General features: G+C 43.5%; 1 protein-coding gene across 11 annotated transcripts in view, besides 3 other annotated features; it reads left to right on the top strand.

Moving 5' to 3' along the window:
- Nucleotides 198-492: a silencer, noted in NCBI's record as "tiled region #13482; K562 Repressive DNase matched - State 13:Ctcf, and HepG2 Repressive DNase unmatched - State 8:EnhW". NCBI's record gives its function as "represses a minimal TATA promoter and a strong SV40 promoter by Sharpr-MPRA in K562 cells, with weaker repression in HepG2 cells {active_cell/tissue: HepG2 | K562}" and the evidence as "EXISTENCE:reporter gene assay evidence [ECO:0000049][PMID:27701403]".
- Nucleotides 6,064-6,313: a silencer, noted in NCBI's record as "silent region_7482". NCBI's record gives its function as "represses an Ori minimal core promoter by ATAC-STARR-seq in GM12878 lymphoblastoid cells {active_cell/tissue: GM12878}" and the evidence as "EXISTENCE:reporter gene assay evidence [ECO:0000049][PMID:35858748]".
- The window catches only part of BRD7 (bromodomain containing 7), a 53,032-nt gene continuing 37,909 nt past the window's right edge, over nucleotides 6,242-21,364 (top strand). For 6 of the 11 annotated variants that reach the window (XM_011523049.3, XM_011523048.3, NM_001437990.1 and 3 more), the window contains exons 1-4: nucleotides 6,242-6,504; nucleotides 6,932-7,191; nucleotides 20,308-20,437; nucleotides 20,748-20,805. In XM_011523049.3, the coding sequence (XP_011521351.1) occupies nucleotides 6,456-6,504; nucleotides 6,932-7,191; nucleotides 20,308-20,437; nucleotides 20,748-20,805 (497 nt within the window). In that variant the 5' untranslated portion in view covers nucleotides 6,242-6,455. Of the gene's footprint in view, nucleotides 6,505-6,931; nucleotides 7,192-13,278; nucleotides 13,439-20,307; nucleotides 20,438-20,747; nucleotides 20,806-21,364 lie in introns of those variants that run through there. The other 5 variants (NM_013263.5, NM_001438175.1, NM_001438174.1 and 2 more) reach the window with 2 other exon arrangements.
- Nucleotides 6,344-6,853: a silencer, noted in NCBI's record as "silent region_7481". NCBI's record gives its function as "represses an Ori minimal core promoter by ATAC-STARR-seq in GM12878 lymphoblastoid cells {active_cell/tissue: GM12878}" and the evidence as "EXISTENCE:reporter gene assay evidence [ECO:0000049][PMID:35858748]".

Genomic DNA, 21,364 nt, shown 5'->3' with positions numbered 1-21,364 from the left:
CTCCAAGGAATCATGATGGACCGGGAGCCCGGGCCTGCAGGATCATTTCTGAGCTGCTCATGGTCTGTCCCCAGCCTGGGGCTCCTGGAAAATGCCCAGCTTTCTCCAAGGTGACCATTTCATCTGGTTTATCCCACTTTACAGGGGGAAGTCCACACCCCACAGCCTGTCATTCAAGGCCTCAGTGTTCCCTTCTGTATCTCTGTCTCATCACACCTCCCACTCTCCAGCATCACCTCAGTGGCCTTGCATGCACAAGTCTACTTGTCTGATCCACCCTCCCCCAGCCCTTCCAGTGCTTAGAGGCTCCCTGCAGCCTGGCCGAGCTTTCCTTCCTCTACACACTCTCAGCCCGCCACTGCCCTCACCTGGCTCCAGTGCTCTGTCCTCCCCTGCTGGGTGTCCTACTCTCCTGCTTCTCCTCCTGCCTCCCTCCCCCTCCTCAGTCTCCTCTGCTGCTTCCTCATCCTTTATTCACCTGTTAGATAATATTGAAGCTCTTCAAGGCTCCATCTTCTCTGATCACTCTACTCTCTCCTCCTGGGTGGTCTCATTCACTCCTGAGGTTCCAAAGACATCTCTATGCCAAAAATCTATTTTCAGGTCTCACCTCCCTTCCAAGCCCCAGACACATGCATTCACCTTCCTACTTGGATTCTCCTCTTGGGTTCTGCATAGGCATCCCTAACCCCTCCTAAGTTCTTCCTCCTACATAACTCTTGAATTATCCCATTGCACCATCCCCACATCATCCACGCTAGACCAAGCCACCCCCATCTCCCCTTTGAAGACCACATCACTTCTAAGCTGGTCTCTCTGCCCGGTCTCCTAACCCACTCCAATTCTTCCTTCATTCAGAAGCCAAAGCGCTCTTGTTAAATTGCCAATATGGCCATGCACCCACGTCCACTGCCTTCATGGGCATCCCAAATAAAATCAAGCATCTCTGCCATGCCTTGAAAAGCTCTGCCCAGCCCAGCCTTTCTTCCAGACACAGTCCCCATCATCTCTCTTGCTCCAAACCTGCTCTCCTCTCCTCCCTGACTGCACCCAACTTTCCCTCGCCTTTGCACATGCTGACCTCTCTGCCTGTTTAGTAGATGCAGCTGATGCCCCCTTGGCTCACCTCTCCTGAAGGCACATCCTGCTGGAGGGGCATCACCAGCAGCTGGGAGTGTTGGCCACTCACGGAAGGCAGCCGCACACCTCCCTCAGAGAATTGCCCTGGGACAAACTAGAGTCACCTCTGTAATAGGCGACAATCAGGCAGACCTCGCTGCCCACCATGGGCTACAAAAGGCCAGCCACCTCCCACAGGGTGGGACTGTTCCCTGGACAGTTGATGTTCCCAATCCCCCCTCGCCCCGCCACCACTGTGGCACGGGGCTGAGGCTGGGACCACCTCTTTCTCTGCTTCTACCCACCCCGTCCTGCTTCTCTCCCAGCTTCTCCCCAATTGCCACCCCAACAGATCCACGCCTCAGGTTCCACTTGTAGGGCACCTAACCAAGACTTATCCTCCAGGTTAGGCCTGGATGAGCCCTCAGCCTGGGTCAGAGCACTATCTGGACAGCAGCTTGCTGTTTTCCTTTCTAACCGTTAGCATGGCCATGATTAAATATTTGTCTGTGTTCTCTGTCTAACATGCATCTCACTGTGCTCTCCATAAGGGCAGGGCTGTGTCTATTTTACTCCCACCGTGTTCCTAGCACCCCCCAGCACATAGTAGGCACACAGAAAATATGAACTGAAAGAAGGAAGGAAGGTCCTGATGTTGCCTCTGTCTTATTTGATCAAGGGCTCTGAGGCTAAATGACTTTTGGGGTTGGCAGCCGTGAGTGTCATGGCTTGGGCTCGCTGCCCTCCAGTAAGCAGCTCTGAGACCGTGTGGGCAGAGGCCATGTGGCATGCCTGCGTGGATGGCGGCCATCCACCGCCTCTCTCTTTTCCTCACTCAGAGGCAGCAGCTGGGGCTGCTCCGCCAGTGACCGTGAGCAACCCTGGAAGCTGCACTGTCAACAACCTGTCATAGCGAATCACCCCAGGCCACTGATTCCCCACAGAGCTGCCTGCTGAACCAGCCTCAGCCTCTTGAGGCCTCTCCCAGCAGCACTCACAGGCTGGCATCAGGCTGGCACCAGGAAGGCCCAGACCTGCTCCTGGTGCCAAATGAGGCACTAGCTGGAGCTGCTGGGAGCCTGGGCTCAGGGGATGCCACCTCCCACCCCAGGACAGAGGGCAGGAATCCCCATGGAGTATCCAGGAGAACCGGCCCTTTCCCACCCACCGTCTGCCCCATTACACTTGGGAAGGCCTGTGTTGTGCCAGAACATTTCTCACTCCTTGCTTTTGCTAACCCTCATGCCAGCCACACAGGCTGCATGAGGCTGGCTCTGCCCATCCCTCAGAGGAGAAAACTGAGATTCAGACAAAGGAAAGCAGGAGAAGAAGTTAGTAGCCCAAGGATTCTCTCCGTCTCAGGAGTTCCCCATCCTGCATCAGTGCTGCATAAGGGGGCTTTGAGGAGTACAGCCAAACAGAGGCGAGGGGGCTCAGAAGCCCCTGATGTTTGAGGCTTTTAGTCTGTCCAGATCATAGGTCAGCACCCAGCAGCCCTCTTTCATTTGTTGGCTATAGGGGAATAGCTATAAAGGGTTCCCAGTGGGTGTCCCAGAACCAAGGCCCCTGAGTTTCGCCCAGCCCTCATCCCACCCAACCAATGAAGGCCACACTCTACCTCAGGGTCAGGTGGCAAGGACATCAGCTGTGTCCCAGAGCGTCCTCTCTGTCAGAGCACCAAGGCCTGAAGGCACCCTGGGCAACAACTCCTCAGCAGAGAGGCCAGGCTGAAGAGGGGCCACCTCCAAGCTGAGCTGCGCAGAGATTTCCTGGGCATGCCACACCCCCCAGTGGCCAGGCTTTCTCCTCCACAGACTCTCCCGGAGGGCTCCAGTCACCTCGTGTCTCCACCAGAAAGGGGAGGAAGGAGGAAGAGAATTATTATCACAACACAGTAATTATGATGTATTCATTTGTCCAACAAATATTTCTCCAGGGCCTGTGCTGAGCCCAGCTCTGTGCTAAGTGCGGGGCACACAGCCAGGAGTGAGACAGACCTAGTCCCTAACCTTGGGGACCTGGGAAGCCAGTGGACAGATGGTGGACACGCACACAGATAGGGAAGAGATATTCAACATAATTTTGGAGGCTGTAGGTGCAATGGAGAGAAACAAGGCATTGCACAGGCTGAGGGAAGAGGGGAAGGGGTGTGTGGGTTGGTGGTCCAGAAGCTTCTCTGAGGTGGTCACAGGGGAGACCAAGGTGATGTGAGGGCAGGAGCCACTCCAGGAGCTCAGGGGAGAGTGTTCTGAACACAGGGAAGAGAAGCAGGGGCTTGGGGCAGGAGGGAGGAGGGGGCAGGGGGATGGGGCTGGAAAGAGAATGAGGGCCAGATCCGGCCCTGAAAGCCAAGGTGCAGATTTGGCTTTGACTTCGAGTGAGACAGGGAGCCACAAGATGGTTTTGAGCAGGAAAGTGACATTCACAAATATTTAAAAGTTAGTATTAGCAGCTGATATTTATTGACCATTTACTATCTACCATATCAGGCATTACTCTCGGCACTCTGACCACATTATCTTCTTTGATCCTTACAACCACCCTGTTGCAGCAGCACACCCAATGACCTCACCCTGGTTCCAAGGTTCAGAGGTAGGCAGCCCTCTCAGGACATGCCAAAGTCACAGACCCTGTAAGCATCTGTGACCCCAGGACTCAAGTCAGCTCTGTCTCACTCACTCAAGAGCTGTTGGGCTGTTGGGGGAGAAGTCTGGGCACAGCTTAACTGGGGCCTCTGCTTCTGGGACTCTCACAGGGCTGTGATCAGGATGTCAGCCAGGGCTGAGGTCTCATCTGAATGTTCCACTGAGGAAGGATCCACTTTGAAGCTCACACAGTTGCTGGCAGGATTCAATCCTTCAAGGCTGTTGGACTGATAGCCTCAGTTGTAGCCGGATGTCAACTGGGGCCCAGCCTCAGGTCTTTGTCACATGGGCTTCTCCAGCATGGCAGCTTACTTCATCAAAACATGCAAGCCAAGAAGGCAAGAGAGACGGTCAGCAAGTAAGACTGAAGTCTTATGTATCCTCAACACAGGAGTGACGTCCATCATCTTTGCCATATTCTATTGCTCTGAAGCCAGTCTCCAGGCCATTCTACACTCACTGGGAGGTCATGAATGGCAGCAGGCAGAAATCTCTCAGGGGAGTCTGCCCGAACCAGGACCGTGCAGCTCAACTAGCATTTTCTGGTGCCTTCTATGTGCCAGGCATGGTATTAGTGCTGAGAATTTAAAACTAGATGAATTTGGGCTTCCACTTCCAGGAACATTTTTCTGGGAGGTGTTTTCTGCTACGTACTCTTATTCACTTTCCATTGATGTGACCACTTTGTGACCTATGTAGAATCACTCTTGAGAGGGTAGGGAAATTACTAACTTGATAGTATGGATGAGTTCACCAGACCTTTTTCCTCTGAGGGGCATTTGGACAGTAGTAGTCACTGTGCTAGGCACTGTAAGTACCAAGGAGGTACCCAGGGTAATGAGGAGCAGACAGGTAAACCCACAGGTTGAGCCTGGAGCAAGGCAATGCCACAATAGAGGCCAGACCCACAGTGGGAGTTGGCATAGTGGTTCTTAAAGCAAAATAAGTTACAGACAGTGGATGAAAAGCTGAAACCAAGCTTTGCCCTATGCTTAGGGGGCCTAGGGGGCCTAGCTGGCTTGATTTCAGAGCAGCAGAAGGTCTCTTCCCCAACACAACCCCTCTTCCCACACCCTGATCTCTGCCTCACGGACACCAGAGAGGCTTGTTACAGGGAAATAATAGACACACACTTTTAGCTTTCATGAAAAAGCAACTCTCTTCATTAGAAGAACCTCATCTTCCCTGGCTAACCATAGAAGTCTGGCAGGAGCTGCCAATCACAGACTCCACTTCTCTTGGCCAAGGGGGTGAGGGGGTAGATTTGGCATCCAGGCCGAATCAATCTCCCATCCCCTGTCCCATAAAACATGTGACACAAGCCAAGCCAATCAGAGTCCTTCCCTGGGACTGTTTTCCAGGTGAAGCTGACAGGAAGAGATCTTTTTCCCAGTTGGTCAGGACACTATAAAGAAGAGGCCTCAGAAGCAGATGGTGGCCATGTTTCCAGCCATATAGGAAAGAAGGGGGGAGATGGAGACCGATATACAGAGAGACAAGAGAGAGAGCGAGCTGGCATGCCAGTCAACAGCATTACATCCTTGGTTCCTGTCTTCCCTCTGGCAAGCTTTATTCTTGCCCTTTCTAGACATGTAAACCAATAAATCCCTTTTTATTTACTTGAAATAATTCAAATTGGTTTCTATTAGTTGCCAACAATAGGGTCCTAAAATATAAGCCTATAATTTCACCACTGAAGTTCAAGGTAAAGCTACAAATCTTCCTGGGAGAGGTGATTCATGGGTCTAAATTGTTACTAAAGTATAAATGACTGATAACAGATCCTTTCTTAAGAGGAGACTATAATTACGAGCTTATCTGAAAACAGACAAAGCACCATACAGCTAGAAGTAAAGACAGTCAAAACGTCTGGTAACCTTCACCTATCAGCACATAAGTTTTTTTTAAGATTAGAATCTTCAGTCACCAATGTGCTGAGTTTGCTGGGTCTGGCACCCAGTATGGGGTTCAGTCAATATCGTAAAAGGGAAGAAACAGAAGCAAGGGAAAGTGGAAAGAAAGGAAGAGTGGGGGAAGGAGGAAGGGGAAAAAAAGAAAAGAAAAAAAGAGGGAAGGAGACGGGAAGAGGAGAAGGAAGGGTGATGAGGGAGGAAGAAAAGAGAGAAGGAAGGCTTGAAGGGAGGCAGTAAGGAGGGAAGAAAGAAAGGAAGGAAGGAGGAAGGAAGGGAAGAAGGGAAAGAGAAAGAAAGAGAGGGAGGGAGTAAAAAGAAGGGAGGGAAGTGGAGACGGAGGGAGAGACACACAGAGACAGAGACAAGACAGACAAATTGAGGGGAAAGGGAGGAAGGAAGAAAGACGAGAGTCTGAGCGGTGGATCCCGCCCCGGCCCCGCCCTCGGCCCCGCCCCCGGCCCGCGAGCTGCAGCACCACCTCCGGTCGCCAGGGGCCGCCACCCGCAGCCGCCGGCACCCTGTGCGCGCGGCGGGCCTTCTTTCCCGCCTCTGCGCCGGCCGCGCGCCCCCCCCGCCGCCGCTCTCGGGCTCCGGCCGGGTCTCGCGCGCCGTCTTCTCGAGAGGGGCATCGCGCCGCCCGGCGCGCGCCGCCCCCCTGCCTCGCGGCGCGGGGTCTCGCGGGCCCCGCTCCCGCCCTCCGCTCGCCTGGCCCGGACCGGAAGCGGCGCCGCACGGCCTGGGCCTGGCGCGGGGGGCGGGCACCGGGGCCCGGTCGGACATGGGCAAGAAGCACAAGAAGCACAAGTCGGACAAACACCTCTACGAGGGTGAGGAGGGGGCCGGGGTGCGGGCGGCGGGCCCTCGGCGGCTCTGCCGGGCTTCCGCTCTTTCCCAGTGGCTCCGGGGCGGCCCGGGGCCCTTCCTTCCCACGGCAGGCCCAGGCCGGCGAAGGGGGCGCGTCCTGCCGGAGGCCGCGCTGCCCCCCGTGCGGCCGCGGCATTCGAACCCGGGTCCCCCTGGTCCGGTGGGTCTCTGGTGGGGAGACGTGAGGCGGGCCCGGGAGGCCTGGGAGCGTTCGGGGCGGGCGGCGCCGCCGCACCCCCGGGCCGGGGTCCGTCATTCAACAGGTGCTTCGCGGAGCGCCCAAAGCCGCCTCGGGCTTGCTGCGCCTTGGCGCTCTGCATCCTTAGCACTCCCTGGAGAGCCCCGATTTTAATCGACGCGCTTTCCTTTCTTTTCTTTTCTTTTTTTAAGAGTATGTAGAGAAGCCCTTGAAGCTGGTCCTCAAAGTAGGAGGGAACGAAGTCACCGAACTCTCCACGGGCAGCTCGGGGCACGACTCCAGCCTCTTCGAAGACAAAAACGATCATGACAAACACAAGGACAGAAAGCGGAAAAAGAGAAAGAAAGGAGAGAAGCAGATTCCAGGGGAAGAAAAGGGGAGAAAACGGAGAAGAGTTAAGGTACAAGTGGTTACATTGCTTTGGCTTTGCGGACGGCACTGCCTCTTCCAGGTGCCAACCTCATTTTATTTTCTTTGTATCTGGGGAAAACAAACGCCTCTAAGATCTGGCTCGTTTGAGGAGGAGCAGGACAGAATAGAGACATGAATCATCTATGAGTTTCAGCAAGTCGTTTTTGGATTATACTCTTAGGCAATTGTACTCGCACATCAGGTGAGGAAGCAGCTAAGTCCAAATTTTGAGGAGCTGCTTCAAAGAATGGTTTTTCCATCTAGGCAGGGTAAAAAGTCATGCTCAAGAAAGCCTCAGTGTTCAAGGATTGTCAAAAATAGTCATTTCAGAAGCGAGTGGGATCTACTGGGGTTTAAAGTTTGTTCTGAAATAAATATTATAATGCCAAATCTGTAATGAGCAACTTTAAATCTTTTAAAACAGTGTTGTAGTGTGTTGAGAAAATTTGGTCAGAAACCTGTAATGGAGATTGATATTCTTAACCATTTGCATTTAACAGAAAAGAATGAGTAGCTACCATCTTGGTTTGAAAGCTGGGCAAAATAATAATTAATGGCTGGGCCCAGTAGCCCACACTTGTAATCCCAACACTTTGGAATGCCGAGGTGGGAGGATTGCTTGAGGCTGGAAGTTCGAGACCAGCCTGGGCAACATAGCAAGGCCCTGCCTCTGCAAAATAAACTACAAAAATTTCCAGAGCCTGGTGGTGTGCACCTGTGTCCCAGCTATTCAGGAGGCTGAGGTGGGAGGATCCCTTGAGCCCAGGAGTTTGAGGTACAGTGAGGTATGATCATACCACTGCACTCCAGCCTGGGCAATAATACGAGACTCTGTCTCTAATAATAATAACATTGTTATTACTGTTATTAACTTTCCAAATTTAACCTGCCACTGAACGACTTATTACATCAATTATTGTGAAGGTAAATTTTCATAGGTTAGTTATGTAATTTTTCTTATGTTTATATATACAAGAGGAGCTTTCTCTTCCATGTGATTGAACACATTGCTAAGTCACCAAGTCTTAGAGATCTTATTTTGGGGATTTCTTAAGTCTATTCCTTCCCTTTTGTCCCAGTTTTTATTACCTTTGGCTAGGTAGGAGTAATGTTTTGTTTTCTTCCTTAAATTATAAAACCCATATATGCATTTGATTTTTTAAAAGTAGTTCATGTGGTGCAAAAGTACACAAAATGGAAAAAGTTTTCCTCACCCCAATCCTTCACATAGACTCCCTCTTCAGAGGTAACCAGTTGTTTTTTTTAATTAATAGTAGTAAAGTAATTCGTGAAGATGATTTTTAAAAGTCAAGAGTACTACACAGCTTTTTGACACAAAGCAGGCTGCTGCTCCACTCTGGACACTTTTTAGGTATTTTTCCTTGCCTACTTATTTCTATTTCAAAATAAAGGTTTATATTGCTATTTACTGATTTAGCAGTTTATATCTTCTACTGACATCATGTTATGGAAGATGAGAATTCAGTTTCCCTTGCTCAAGGTATAGGTACATCACAATTATTGGTTAAATCAATATTAAAGTGATTGTAGACAAGTATAGTATGCAAATATAGATCTGATCTTAACTAGTTAGATCATTGCTTTCATTTGTTTGGTTATTGCTTAATAATTCTTCCCAAACTCTAAGATTTATGAAACTCATTTGAGTTCTTTACTTCCTTTTTTATTTTCCTCTGGAGACATTTATCTTACAGCTTTCTGTCTCCTGGAGGCTGAATTAGTTGCTGTCAAGGCCTCCTGGGACTCTCCTTCACCTGCTTCCTGGATCTCATGCCTTCCTCTTTCTTGATTCATTCCCTTGTTCTGGTGGACTCTTAACTCTAGGAACGTCCTAAGAAAGCATACACGGGGTAGATTTTATAAGTTCTAACATGTTTGAAAATCTGTATTCTGCCCTCATACAGGTTGATGGTTTGACTTGTTTAGATTGAAAATTATTTTCTTTCAGACTTTTGAAGGCATTGCTTTGTTGTTTTCTGGCTTCTAAATTTGCTGTTGAGAAGTCTGTTGCCATTCTGATTCTTAGTCCTTTGCATATGACCAGTATTTGCTAACTTGAAATTTTTAGGATCTTCCCCCCTTATCTTCAGTGTTCTGACATTTCACAATGAATACTTGTGCCTTCAGTTCAGAGCTGTGTGCTTGAAGTATTCCTGTGTTCATTTCTTTCCCTCCATTTTTTCTTTTCTTGGTTTCTGGAACTCCTGCCCTTTAGATATTAGACTCCTGAACTGATCCTCTAATTTTCTTATGTTTTTCTCATATTTTTTCTGGGTGTGTGTGGGGTGGGGGAGGGTTCTTCCTTCAGGGAACATCCCTAAAATTTCTGACTTTTCCAGATTTATTTCAGATCTTATACCTTGAATTTCCAAGAATTTTTTCTTGTTCTCTAACTGTCCTTTTTGAATTAGCACCCTGTTCTTGGTTTTAGATGCAGTATATTCTTTTCTTTCTCTGAGGATATTAATCGAAGTTTTTTCCTGTTTTTTTCTCCTAAGTTTTCTTTTGCTCCCTGCCCTGTCTCTCTCTCCCAAATTCTTCCATTTATTTGTCTGTCTCTGTTTTCTGTTGAAAGCATCCTTTAGTTGTCTGTTGAGCTTTTGCAGTTTGTACAAAGCTGAGTAAATGCTTTGTACCTAGACAGAGTTTGTCAGTTGATGGACTTTATTGTAGAGTGACTAACAGGGACTCAGTCATTTTGGTGAAGAATGCCCCAATGTCTGTACCTTACAGATGTTTTCTCTGGGATTTTTAGTTTCTCCAGAGAAAAATCCTCCTCTCCTAGGAGATGGATTTTGCCAGTTTTATCCGTGTTTCTGGAGCCAACTATGGGGCAGGGGCTGAAGGTCTTACCACCCAGTTTTCTGAGTCTGGCATTTCTCCTTATTTTGGCTCGTCTCGAGATTTGGAGACTCTCAGGTTCCCTGCCTCCTCCAGTTCTGAGCTTTTCCAGGGTTCTGGAATTTAGGCTTTTTTCAAAGGTGTCCACCTCTCTGCATACGGGAGTATCTTGCTTTCTCTGTTCTGCAAATCACCCCATTTGCCTTCCGTCTCCCAAGTGTGTTGACGTGGCTTATCAACCTTTGTCTCTTACGTGCTCTTTGTTCCGGCCATCGTCTTGTTTAACAAAAGTTGAGGTAACCACTTTGAACCACTCTGGTTTTTGTTCTGGCAGTTACCACCATAATCCCATTGATACATTAATATTCTTCGTTTCTTGTTTTATTCGTTATCTTTATATCGATTACATAGTATTTAGTTATATGGATATACCATACTTATGATTATTACTTTTAAATCTTACATGTAATACTGCAGTGAGCCTCATTGTACACACATCTTTGTACACTTGTGTAAGAATATCTTCAGGATGGGTTCTTAGAAGTGTTCTCCCCCCTGTGTTCCAGCCACTCTATCCTTTCTTGACTGTGGCTCTAAAGATCATTAGTCCCATTGTATTTTGATGTCATTGCAACCTAAAATGGGTTCATATCCACAGTCTCTTCTGGACACACCTCTCAGAATAGGACAGGTAGGGGGATGGTTTCTATTTCACATTCAGGGCTAGAGACTTCAGATCCTCTGGGGTGTCACTGGTTCTGTAGGGACTGTTTGGGTCATTCTTTTTTTCCAGGCTAGACCAGGGAAGCAGGGAGAGATTCTTTTTGCTAGTGTTATGTAGGGAGGGAGACCTTAGAGATGCCTCTGTGAGCTGTGTTCTGGATGTCCAGGGAGTTTTAGGAATAGTAGTTGATGTGATCTCTTCTTGGGAGAAAGAAGGGCTAGAGTATGTATGATTCTGAGGGACTGGCGACTCTTCTCTCAGTTCCATGGAGCTGGATGGAGGACAAAGGATGTCCTTTTCCTTTCAAAACATTTTTCTGAAAGGCATACATAACTTCTGCTTATGTTTTACTAACCAGAACCTAATCACACAGTCACCTTAGCTGATAGGGAGACCGGAAAATGTTGTCTTTTTTTTTTTTTTCCTTTTTGAGATAGGATCCCATGTTGTTGCCCAGGGCAGAATGCAGTGGTGCAATCATGGTCCACTGCAGCTTCAAACTCCTGGACTTAAGTGATCCTCTCACCTCAGTCTCCCGAGTAGCTGGGACTACAGGCATGTATCACCACACCCAGCTAATTTTTTCAAAAACATTCTTTTGTAAAGATGGGGTCTTGCTATGTTGTCCAGGCTGGTCCCAAACTTCTGGGGTCAGGTGATCCTTTCACCTCAGCCTCCCAAAAGTACTAGGATTACAAGTGTGAGCTACCATATCTGGCATTTTAGTTGCGGGGAGTGAATGGGGGTAATGTACCTTGCTAAAAATTAGGAATCTGTTACTTAGGAAAATAAGATAAAGTTGGGGGAAGCACACGCGCACGCGCGCGCGCGCACACACACACACACACACAAACACACAACGTAAAGCCTTACAATTTTTCAAAAGTGCCTCAGTTAAGTGATTTTCTTGTTTTGAGTAGGAAGGCTCTAACTATATTAGTTTAAAATGCCCCAACGGGTAGGATCAGCAGTATTTCTCCCTGTACAGCAGTGGTATTTAATGCCAACCAAAGCATTAGGGGTACAACGTGCTTTGGTTTCCACAAGACACCACCCCTATGAAAGTGATGAATTTTCTTATTCCTTAAACATTCTGATGCTGAGCAGTTGATAAAGAATTTGCCTGCTGGCATGACTCTTAAAACATTAGTTTTCCTTTCCTAAATGTTCAGTCTTAATATTTTCCCATGTTATGTAAAAAATAAAATAACAGCCATAAAAAATGCTTATGCCATCTGATCTAGTCATACATACACAAGAGGATAGTTAAGTAAAACTAAGATGCAATAGGTAAAATTCTGTGAGGCTGTTAATTGATAAAATGATTTATAAAAATTACAGAAGTATTTCTAAAATCACAGTAGAGGAAATAACCATATACACACCCATTATGATTATAACACGAAAAAGCTACACGTAACGTTTTACAAATAACAACTGCTACTTATCAGGCATATAGTACATCCTAGGTTCTGTGCTGAGCGCTTTATGTACATCATCCTACTATACTCCCTACTGTAATCCTGTGAGACTGGTGTTCTGTCTCTATTTTGTTGGATTGTGGTACAATACACATAGCATAAAATTTACCATTTTAATTATTTTTAAGTGTGCAGTTCAGTAGTGTTAAATGTATTTACATTTTTGTGCAACTATTTTCCAGAACTTTTTCGTACCTATTAAAAACTCCCCATTTTCCTTTCTCCCTCTCCTCAGACCTTGGCAACCACCATTCCACTTTCTGTCTCTGTGAATTTGACTGCTTTTATAAGTGGAATGATACAGTATTTGTCTTTTTGTAGCTGTCCTATATCATTTAGCACAATGTCCTCAAGGTTCGTCTGTTGTAGCGTGTGTTGGAATGTCCTTCCCTTCTAAGGCTAATTGCTACTCCATTGTATGGATATACCACATTTTATTTATTTATCAGTCAGTGGACATGTGGTTTGCTTCCACCTTTTGGCTGTTATGAATAATGCTGCGAGGAACATGAATTGTACAAAGTTCTCTTCAGGACCCCTACTTTCACTTCTTTTGGATACACACCCACAAATAGAATTACTGGATCATACTATCTCCTCTTTTATTAATGAGAAAATTGAGGCTCAGGGAGGTTAAGTAACTTTACCAAAGTCTCACAGTTAATGCCAGAACAATAACTCAAATTCTGCCCTTAAGAGGTCTTTAATCTGAAAGAGTTGTTAAAGTAGGCACCAACCTCTGCCCACAGCACATGGGGAAATAAAGTCAGTGCCCTAACAGAGGCAGGGTTCTAGTTCTGAGGCTCCTGAGAGTACATGGAGCTGGGGGAAATCACAGAAGACTTTTCTCAAGAAGCAGCATTTGAGTTGGGCTTTAGAAATCAAAATACAGTGATGTAACACTATATGTTCAGTTAACATGGGGTCAACTATATGCCCTGAGAGAAATGGCTCTTTTTATGGTAGTTCAGTAGAAGTATTCTAAGATTGTAAGTCATGAGTATTGTACTTAATGGGCTACTTCAGGTATTTTCCAAGGTGATTTGACAACCCAATTTTTATTTATGTGCTGCCTTTAGATGATGATCCCTGAATAGAATGATAGGCCACTGCGTAGAGACGTGGAGGTCAGGAAGCCCACACACCAGAGGATTATGGAGCTGTTGTTAGAGGATTAGCTCAAAAATGGGCAAGAAGGAGATGCGTATAGGGGACATAAAGTAAGTCTCTTTTTAAACACAGAATGCATGGAGGGGAGGATAGGGTAAGATCTGAAAGGCAGCTGAGATGGCAGAGTAAGGAGTTTGAGCTTCAGTATGTAGTCAGTAGGAAATCAAAAACTTTGAGTGGAAGAATGATAAAAGCTGAGTGTTAGTAACATAAATCTGGTAACAGTATCTAACAAATATTGAATGGAGAGAGTGGAAACTGTAAGGAGACCTGCATAGAAAGCTTTTTATTGAAATAGCTCAGACGAGTGGTCTCAATTCCTTTATTGAAACTCACTTGCTGTTCTGAAGAACATAGTCCTAACCCAAATGATGTCTTAATAGCTTTGTAGGTCGACTTCTGGTTTAGTTGCTGAAAGAAGTTAGGCCACTCACATTGCTTAGGAATGTTATCAGAATAAAATGAGAAAGATAGTAGTCATTAAAAAAATTTTTTTACTCAAAAGCATTAACACATATAGGATGTTATTATATATAAAGCTAAAATTAAGTAAAACTTTAATGAAAATTACAGTAAATTCCAGTAAGTACCTATTTTATTAAAGCACTATCTATACTAAGTCCAACAGTGGAGGCAGACTCATAACTAACATCCGAGTGTTTACTGTCTGCCAGACACTATTCTAAATTCTTTGTGTATATTTACTATTTTGATCCTTAGAAATAATTCTGTGAGGTAGGTGCTGTTAGTATCTCGTACTGCTGATTTAACTGAGCCACAGAGTATGAGGTAGCTTTTAACTAGAGAGGAGCAGTGACTAATCGTATTAAGCAAAGTGAGAATTCTGGCAAAACACAGTTCATTGACTTGTGCCATCTGTCACACCTGGCATCTCTGGGCTGTTGTGGCTTATCTGCCTTGGCAGAAAACCCTCCCCCTTTCTCAGCATTGGTCTGTGTGTGTCCCTCCTGAGGTAGTCGTCTCAACCCCAAAAGACCTTTCCAAGGAAGGAAGAACTCAGAAAAGGGGCCTATGAGTAGCATTGCTCCTCTGATAGAAGGCTGTTTATCTGTTTCTTTATTCAACAAATATTTACCTGACACCTATTATCTGGCCAGACTGTACTAGGCTCCAGTGATTAAGATAGGTAAATAAATAAATAAAATCCTACAGGAGCTCAAAGTTGGACCCAGGAATCAGACATGAAAGTATAAATAAACCTCACGACCTGGTAAATCCTAAGGGAGGTTTGACTAACTTGTTCCAGGAGTCCAGGGAAAGGTATGCGTCATTCTGCCGTGGGCAGCTAGGGGAAAGCATCATAGAGCTAATGGCTAACGTGTGTAGCAAATGCTGTTTTCAGCCTAGGGCCAAAAATGATGTGCAGCTGCCAGGTAATGAAACATTTTTCATTGGATTCTAAAATCAGCTGTTAAAAGGGAACTCTACATTGTTTTGCATATTGGAGCATCACTTGAATATATGTATGTGTATATATCCTCCGAAAGTAACCAACCTGAAGGACAGTACTTATTACTAAGGACTTTAGCTGTTAATTTGCATGCTTTTGTGTTCCTATGTCATGCTGTCTCCTATGATTAATTACTTCTGCAAATACTTAGCAAGTATTATGTGTTAGGCATTTGCTGAGCTTGCAGGTATGGAGCTGAATAAGACAAGGACCACTGTCCAGAGGGAGCTCCAGTAGAACAGGCAAATGTCATTTGTTGAGTGAATAATGTGGTTCGGTGAGTGTTAAATCCTAATAATCTGAGCAAAGATTTGCTTTAAAAGCATTACACACAGATTAATAAAATAACTTGCCATCAAGTTGTGGGCAAATTAGAATCTAGTCAGAAGAAAGTAAATGTGTTTGTAGTTCATGGAAATAGCCCCTCTTCCTTTCTCCTGCCTCAGATCTTCATGCATACAAGATGTTTCCCCTGCCTGGAATGCTGTTCCCACACACCTACCTCCACCCCCAACCTAGCTAGATTCTTTCTCCTTCAGATCTCAGCTCAGATGTTACTTCCTCATGGAAACCTTCCCACACTTGTCCAGTCTAAATTATTTTCACCCAAAAGTTATTCTGTCCTTGAAATCTGTTTTGTTGTTGTTTTTAAGACTAGTCAAGTGAAGCAGTGGGAATGGGGAAGGAACAAAAAAATCTGTAGCTCGTTGTGATCAATTAGTTGTAAACATGTTTATTTTTTTTAATGAGTTATTTAATGCACATCTCTGCTGTTATAAACCTGTTTGTTTTTTGAATGAGTTATTTAATGAACATCTCTGCTGTTTCACTCTGAGCTCCGTAAGAGTAGGGCTGTGTATATTTTCTCTTTCACTATATAGCCACACAGTAAAGCCTCTTTTATTTATTGAATGAATGAGTGTCCATCATGTGCTAAGTAATGTGCTAAAACTTTACATAAACTATCACATTTAATCCTTAAAATAGTCCTGTGAGGTATGTATTCTTGTGTCTATTTTAAAGATTAGAACGTTAGACTCCAAAAAATTATATAGTTTATCCATGACACCATAGCTAATTACATAGTTTATCCATATCATAGCTTTGTCACCTACTAGTGACGAGGCCAGAATTTAAACCCGCTTTATAAACTAACTGTAAACTCTTCTTCCTTAACTACCTAAAGTTAAATGGCACTAATATTTTTGCTTAGTTTTTTCTGTGTAATTAACAGAATTTACTGTTAACCAGAACTGTGTTAACTTATGGTTTTACGTAACTATATTCATTTAATAAGTGACATTCACAACAAGATTCTGCAACATACTCTGAATTATGAAAAAGAAAATGTAAAGGTTGGAATCAGAATTTTAGGTGGAGAGAGACCTGTAGAGATCACAGCCTTGTGTTGTACAGATGGGAAACTGAGACTAAAACAGTGGGGTAACTTGTTAAAAGTCATATGCTGGTGAACTAGAAGCTAGATCTCCTGATTCTCAGTCTGGAAATAACATGCTATGATATCTCTATTCAGTTTAGGGTAGTTTCCAAGCATATGTTTTTATATTCTTTTTTTCTTTTGGACTCCCTAGCCCCAAAGACTTTTTGCTTTACTGAATGATAAAGTGGTTACGGTAGACCAGGATAACTAGGTAAAGATACTAGGTAGGGGTAGTTCAGAAACATACCCTCCTTTGGTACTTTTTCCACTTGGCTAGTTTATGATTGACCATCTTATCAACTCTGTAAGATAAATAATAACAGTTAAATCTCCATCTTGCATGTGGTAAAGAGGTCTGATGAGAGTAAATGAATTGCCTAAGGTCACAGAGTGGTTTTTTACTTTATTCTTTTTGTTCTTTTTTTTTTTTTTTTGAGACAGGATCTGGCTCTGTTGCCCAGGCTAGAGTGCAGTGGTGCAATCTCGACTTACCGCAACCTCCACCTCCTGGGCTCAAGCCATGCTCCTACCTCAGCCTCCCAAGTAGCTGGGACTCCAGGTGCACACCAAAACTCCTGGATTTCGCTATGTTGCCTAGGCTGGCCTCGAACTCCTGAGCTCAAGTGATCCACCCACCTCGGCCTCCCAAAGTTCTGGGATGACAGGGGTGAGCCACCGCATCCAGCCAGCAGAGTGTTTTAAGGATGAAGCTGGACTCTTAGAGCATAGGTTAGCAAGTTGGCCAACAGTTTTTGTAAATAAATTTTTATTGAAACACAACCAAATTAATTCATTTACATTTTATCTGTGGTGGTTTTCATACTACAACACATACTATAATACAAAAGCAGAGTTTAGTAGTTGTGACAGAACTTAATGGGCCACAAAGCCTAAATGTTTACAGTTTGGCCGTTTTGGGTTTTTGTTTTGTTTTGATTTGTTTTGTTTTTGAGACAGAGTCTTGTTCTGTCGCCCAGGCTGGAGTGCAGTGATGCGTTCTTGGCTCACTGCAACCTCTACCTACGGGTTCAAGCGATTCTCCTGCCTCAGCCTCCCAAGTAGCTGGGATTACAGGCGTGCACCACCACCCGCAGCGGATTTTTGTATTTTTAGTAGAGATGGAGTTTCGCTTTGTTGGCCAGGCTGGTCTCAAACTCCCGGCCTCAAGTGGTACACCTGCCTCAGCCTCCCAAAGCTCTGGGATTACAGGCACGAGCCACTGCACTTGGCCCAGTTTGGTCGTTGACCAAAAAGTTTGCTGGCCCCAGTTCTAGACTCTTGGCACTGGCACTGGATGAGTTTTTTCTACCTGGGAGAATGCATACTGCCTCTCAAGCTGTCCTTTCTTCACAGGTCACATTTAATAGGAAGGAATCTGTGTCTCTGTGGCTGTTATTTCATAGAATGGATCTTCTAAACTTGCCAGCCTACCAAGATCCATACCAGTATTTCTGGACGAAGGATTTAAAATTTTCCAAAGTTAAGAATTACTGCAACAGAATATGTTGTGAGGTGGTAAAAATACATTAACCAACTAACAGTGGTAGCTGGGATCAAGCATGAGTTCAGTTTATAACTGCTCTCTGGAACTTTTAAAACAACCATATATTCTGTATTAGGTGCTTTGGATTCTGAAAATAGAGTGCAGAGCTCTAGATCAGTGATTCTCAAAGTGTGGTCCCTGTACCAGCAACACCCACATGGCCTGGAAACTTGTTAGAAAGTACAAATTCTCTGTCTCTACCCCATACCTGCAGATCAGTAATTCTAGGGACAAGGCCCAGCCATCTGTGTTTTTAATGAGACCTTCAGGTGATTCTAATGCACACTAAAGCTTGCGAACCACAAGAATTTTTGTTTCTTGCAAAATAAAATTTTTGTTTCTTGCAAAATCCTAAATAATCCTGATGCTGCCAGTCTGGTGACCATGCTTTGAGAACCATTGCTGTAGATACTAGAAATAAAAAATAGGGCATAGGCCAAGAAAATAGCTTTTTGAGTCCATAAGATCCTGTTGAGAATCTTGATTTTGATGAGCATAAAATGGGCATTGTTGGACAATTTTACTTCAGAATTTAAATTTTAAGAATGCAGAGTACAGAGAATAATAAAACTACCATCTTGATACCAACCATCCAGCTTTAACAGATCTCAACATTTAGCCATATATATATGTGTGTGTGTGTGTGTATATATATATATATATTTTTTTTTTCCCCTAAGGAAAGAAGAGGGCAGACAGAGATCCCTTATACCCTTTCAGAGTCCCATTTCTGTCTTTCCTTCTGATAGAACCACTGTACTGAATTTGGTGTATATCACATGCATGTTTTTATAATTACAAGTTCTGCATACATCTGTAAACAATGTATGCTTACACATTTTCATACATAGCTTGTAACAGTAATTGTTCTGCAACTTTTCTTCAGACATTGTTTCTGAATGTTATCCATGTTGATACAATACAATTTTAGCTCATTTACATTACCTGTTATGTAAATATGACACAATTTATTAATCTATTTTCCTTTTAATAGGCATTGGATTATTCCTATTTTTTACTATTTTAAACAATGCTGCAGTAATCTCTTACAAGTCTCCATGTAGACCATACGACAGGAAATTTCTCTGGTATATGCACAGAGAGTAGCAGTTGAGAAGTAGGTTAAAGGCTTTGCTAGCTTTGCTAGATATTGCTAATTGCTCTGCTAAGGATTGTTCCTATTCACCCAATTGCAAGGTATGAAAATCCCATTTCTCTACATTTTTATCAAAACTTGACATTTCAGACAAATGTTGCCAAAGAGAGGCGAAATGCCTTCTAGTTTTTAAATCTATAATTACCCAAGTTCTAGGGAGCTTGAGCTAGTTCTCATGTTCTCAACATTTCACATTTCTTATTCTGTGAGTTACCTGTGATATCACTTATCTATTTCTTTTTTGGATTTTTTGCCTTTTTGCATAGATTTATAGATGCTCTTCATGGAATCCTTAATGTTTTATAAGTTGTGTTTCAAGTACTTTATCTCAGTCTATCGTTAGATTTTTAACTTGGTTCATGGATTTTGTTGAGGTACCAAAATTTATCAACTTAATATCAAATTTATCAAGGTTTTCCTTTAAAATTTATTCATTTTATATCTTTTTAAGAAAGTCTTTTTCTACTCTTGGGTCTTAAAGATGCTTTTCTTTTATCTGAAGTTCTGAAGCTTTGCTTTGTACATTTAAGTCTTTATCTGGAATTCACTTTTGTGTATGGCATGAAGTAGAGCTCAAATTCTATTTTCTCTTTTCAGGTAACAGTTGTCTCAGCACCACCCTTTTGTCATTGACTTATAATGTCACCTCTGTGATATACTAAGATTATTCTATGTACATGGGTCTGTTTCTGGGCTCTGATCTCTTCTGTTGGCTTATTTGTCTGTGTGTCAGACCCACATTGTCTTATTATCACGTTATACAAATAATATCTGGTAAGACGTATCATCTTACTCTGACCTTTTTCAAAACTATTGTGTTCTTAATCGTTCACTCTTCGAGGTAAATTAATGCAATTGGCTTGTTGAATTCCATGGAAATTTTTGTTTTTAAATTTCGATTGGCATTACATCGAATGTATTGATAACTTGAGAGAGGATTGACTCTGAATTCATGAACATAGTATATCTCCTTTATTCAGGCCTTCTGTGACCTTCAGTAATGTTTCACAGTTTTTCCCAAAAGGTTTTGGGTATCTTTTATTAGATTTATTTCTATATACACTATGTTGCTTTTTTGGATAGTATTGTTTTTCTAACTGGTTATTTCTGGCATAGAGACCCCCTTTGTTTTTTCCTTCGTGAACGTATTATTCTCTCCTTTTCCAGTAGATGGCAGTAAAGTACATTGAGCTTGTTATTAAGAATATTTTCTTTACAATGATGTCTTTTTACCCCTTAAAATGATTTATGTATTTAAAGATATTGGTTCTGAAATATTTCTAAATTATCTCCCTTTGTTCCATTTAGGAGGATAAAAAGAAGCGAGATCGAGACCGGGTGGAGAATGAGGCAGAAAAAGATCTCCAGTGTCACGCCCCTGTGAGATTAGACTTGCCTCCTGAGAAGCCTCTCACAAGCTCTTTAGCCAAACAAGAAGGTTGGAATAACTCTGAATTAACTATCCTGAATGAGGAGGCTGAAATCATTATAGCTCAGGAAAATGGTGGGGTTTTAGCTTCTAAGTTGGAGCTTTGTGATTGAATTTTTAAGTTTTTTCTCTCAAACTGCATAAGAGCTTTAAATTAGCTTCAATTTTGGATTAATACTCTCAAACTTCAATATATTTTTAAGATAAATGGAATTTCTGTATGAGATATTTAATAATGGTTGTAGAAAATGATCTAGTAAATAATACTCTCTAGAATACTCCTTTTTAAAATACCCTTTTCCCTTCTTCTTTGCTTTAGAAGTAGAACAGACACCCCTTCAAGAAGCTTTGAATCAACTGATGAGACAATTGCAGAGGTAAATGTTTTTCCAATATTTTTATAACATAGAAATTAAAATGGTAGATGTGTAGGATCCAAACCACATTTGTGCCTAACTCCAAACATACGTGATTTTAAAGTGAATGATAAATATTTTGCCTGGCAGCAGAAGTACTCCAAGAGGCTAGGCTAACTTTTAGATATTCTTTATTTGGTTTGTTTCCCTGGCAACTTGAAGGGTGTTACATAATACTTTTAATGACAAATTTCTGTCTCTAAAGTAATTTCTGATGTTAAAACTTTAAGCCAGGAATAAACAATACAGATATTTCCACTTTGCTAATAGATGGAAATACCTTCTATGTATTTGTACAATGCTTATCATGCCACAAATGTTTAGCAATTATTAAGTATGGGAGAAAAAATAAAACACCATAAATAGGAATTATGGCCTTCTTTTAAATGCAGAAATTGGTTCTAAAAATTTCAGTGCCTAGATTAAGCTACTGTTGAGTTCTTAAAAGGGAAAAGAATAACTCAATCTTTATTAAAATATTTATTTTGGGCCGGGTGTGGTGGCTCACGCCTGTAGTCCC

This window comes from Homo sapiens, chromosome 16 (assembly GCF_000001405.40).
Source record: "Homo sapiens chromosome 16, GRCh38.p14 Primary Assembly".
Lineage (NCBI taxonomy): Eukaryota > Metazoa > Chordata > Mammalia > Primates > Hominidae > Homo > Homo sapiens.
The sequence above is the reverse complement of the archived record's forward strand: the minus strand, read 5'-3'. Positions and strand labels throughout refer to the sequence as shown.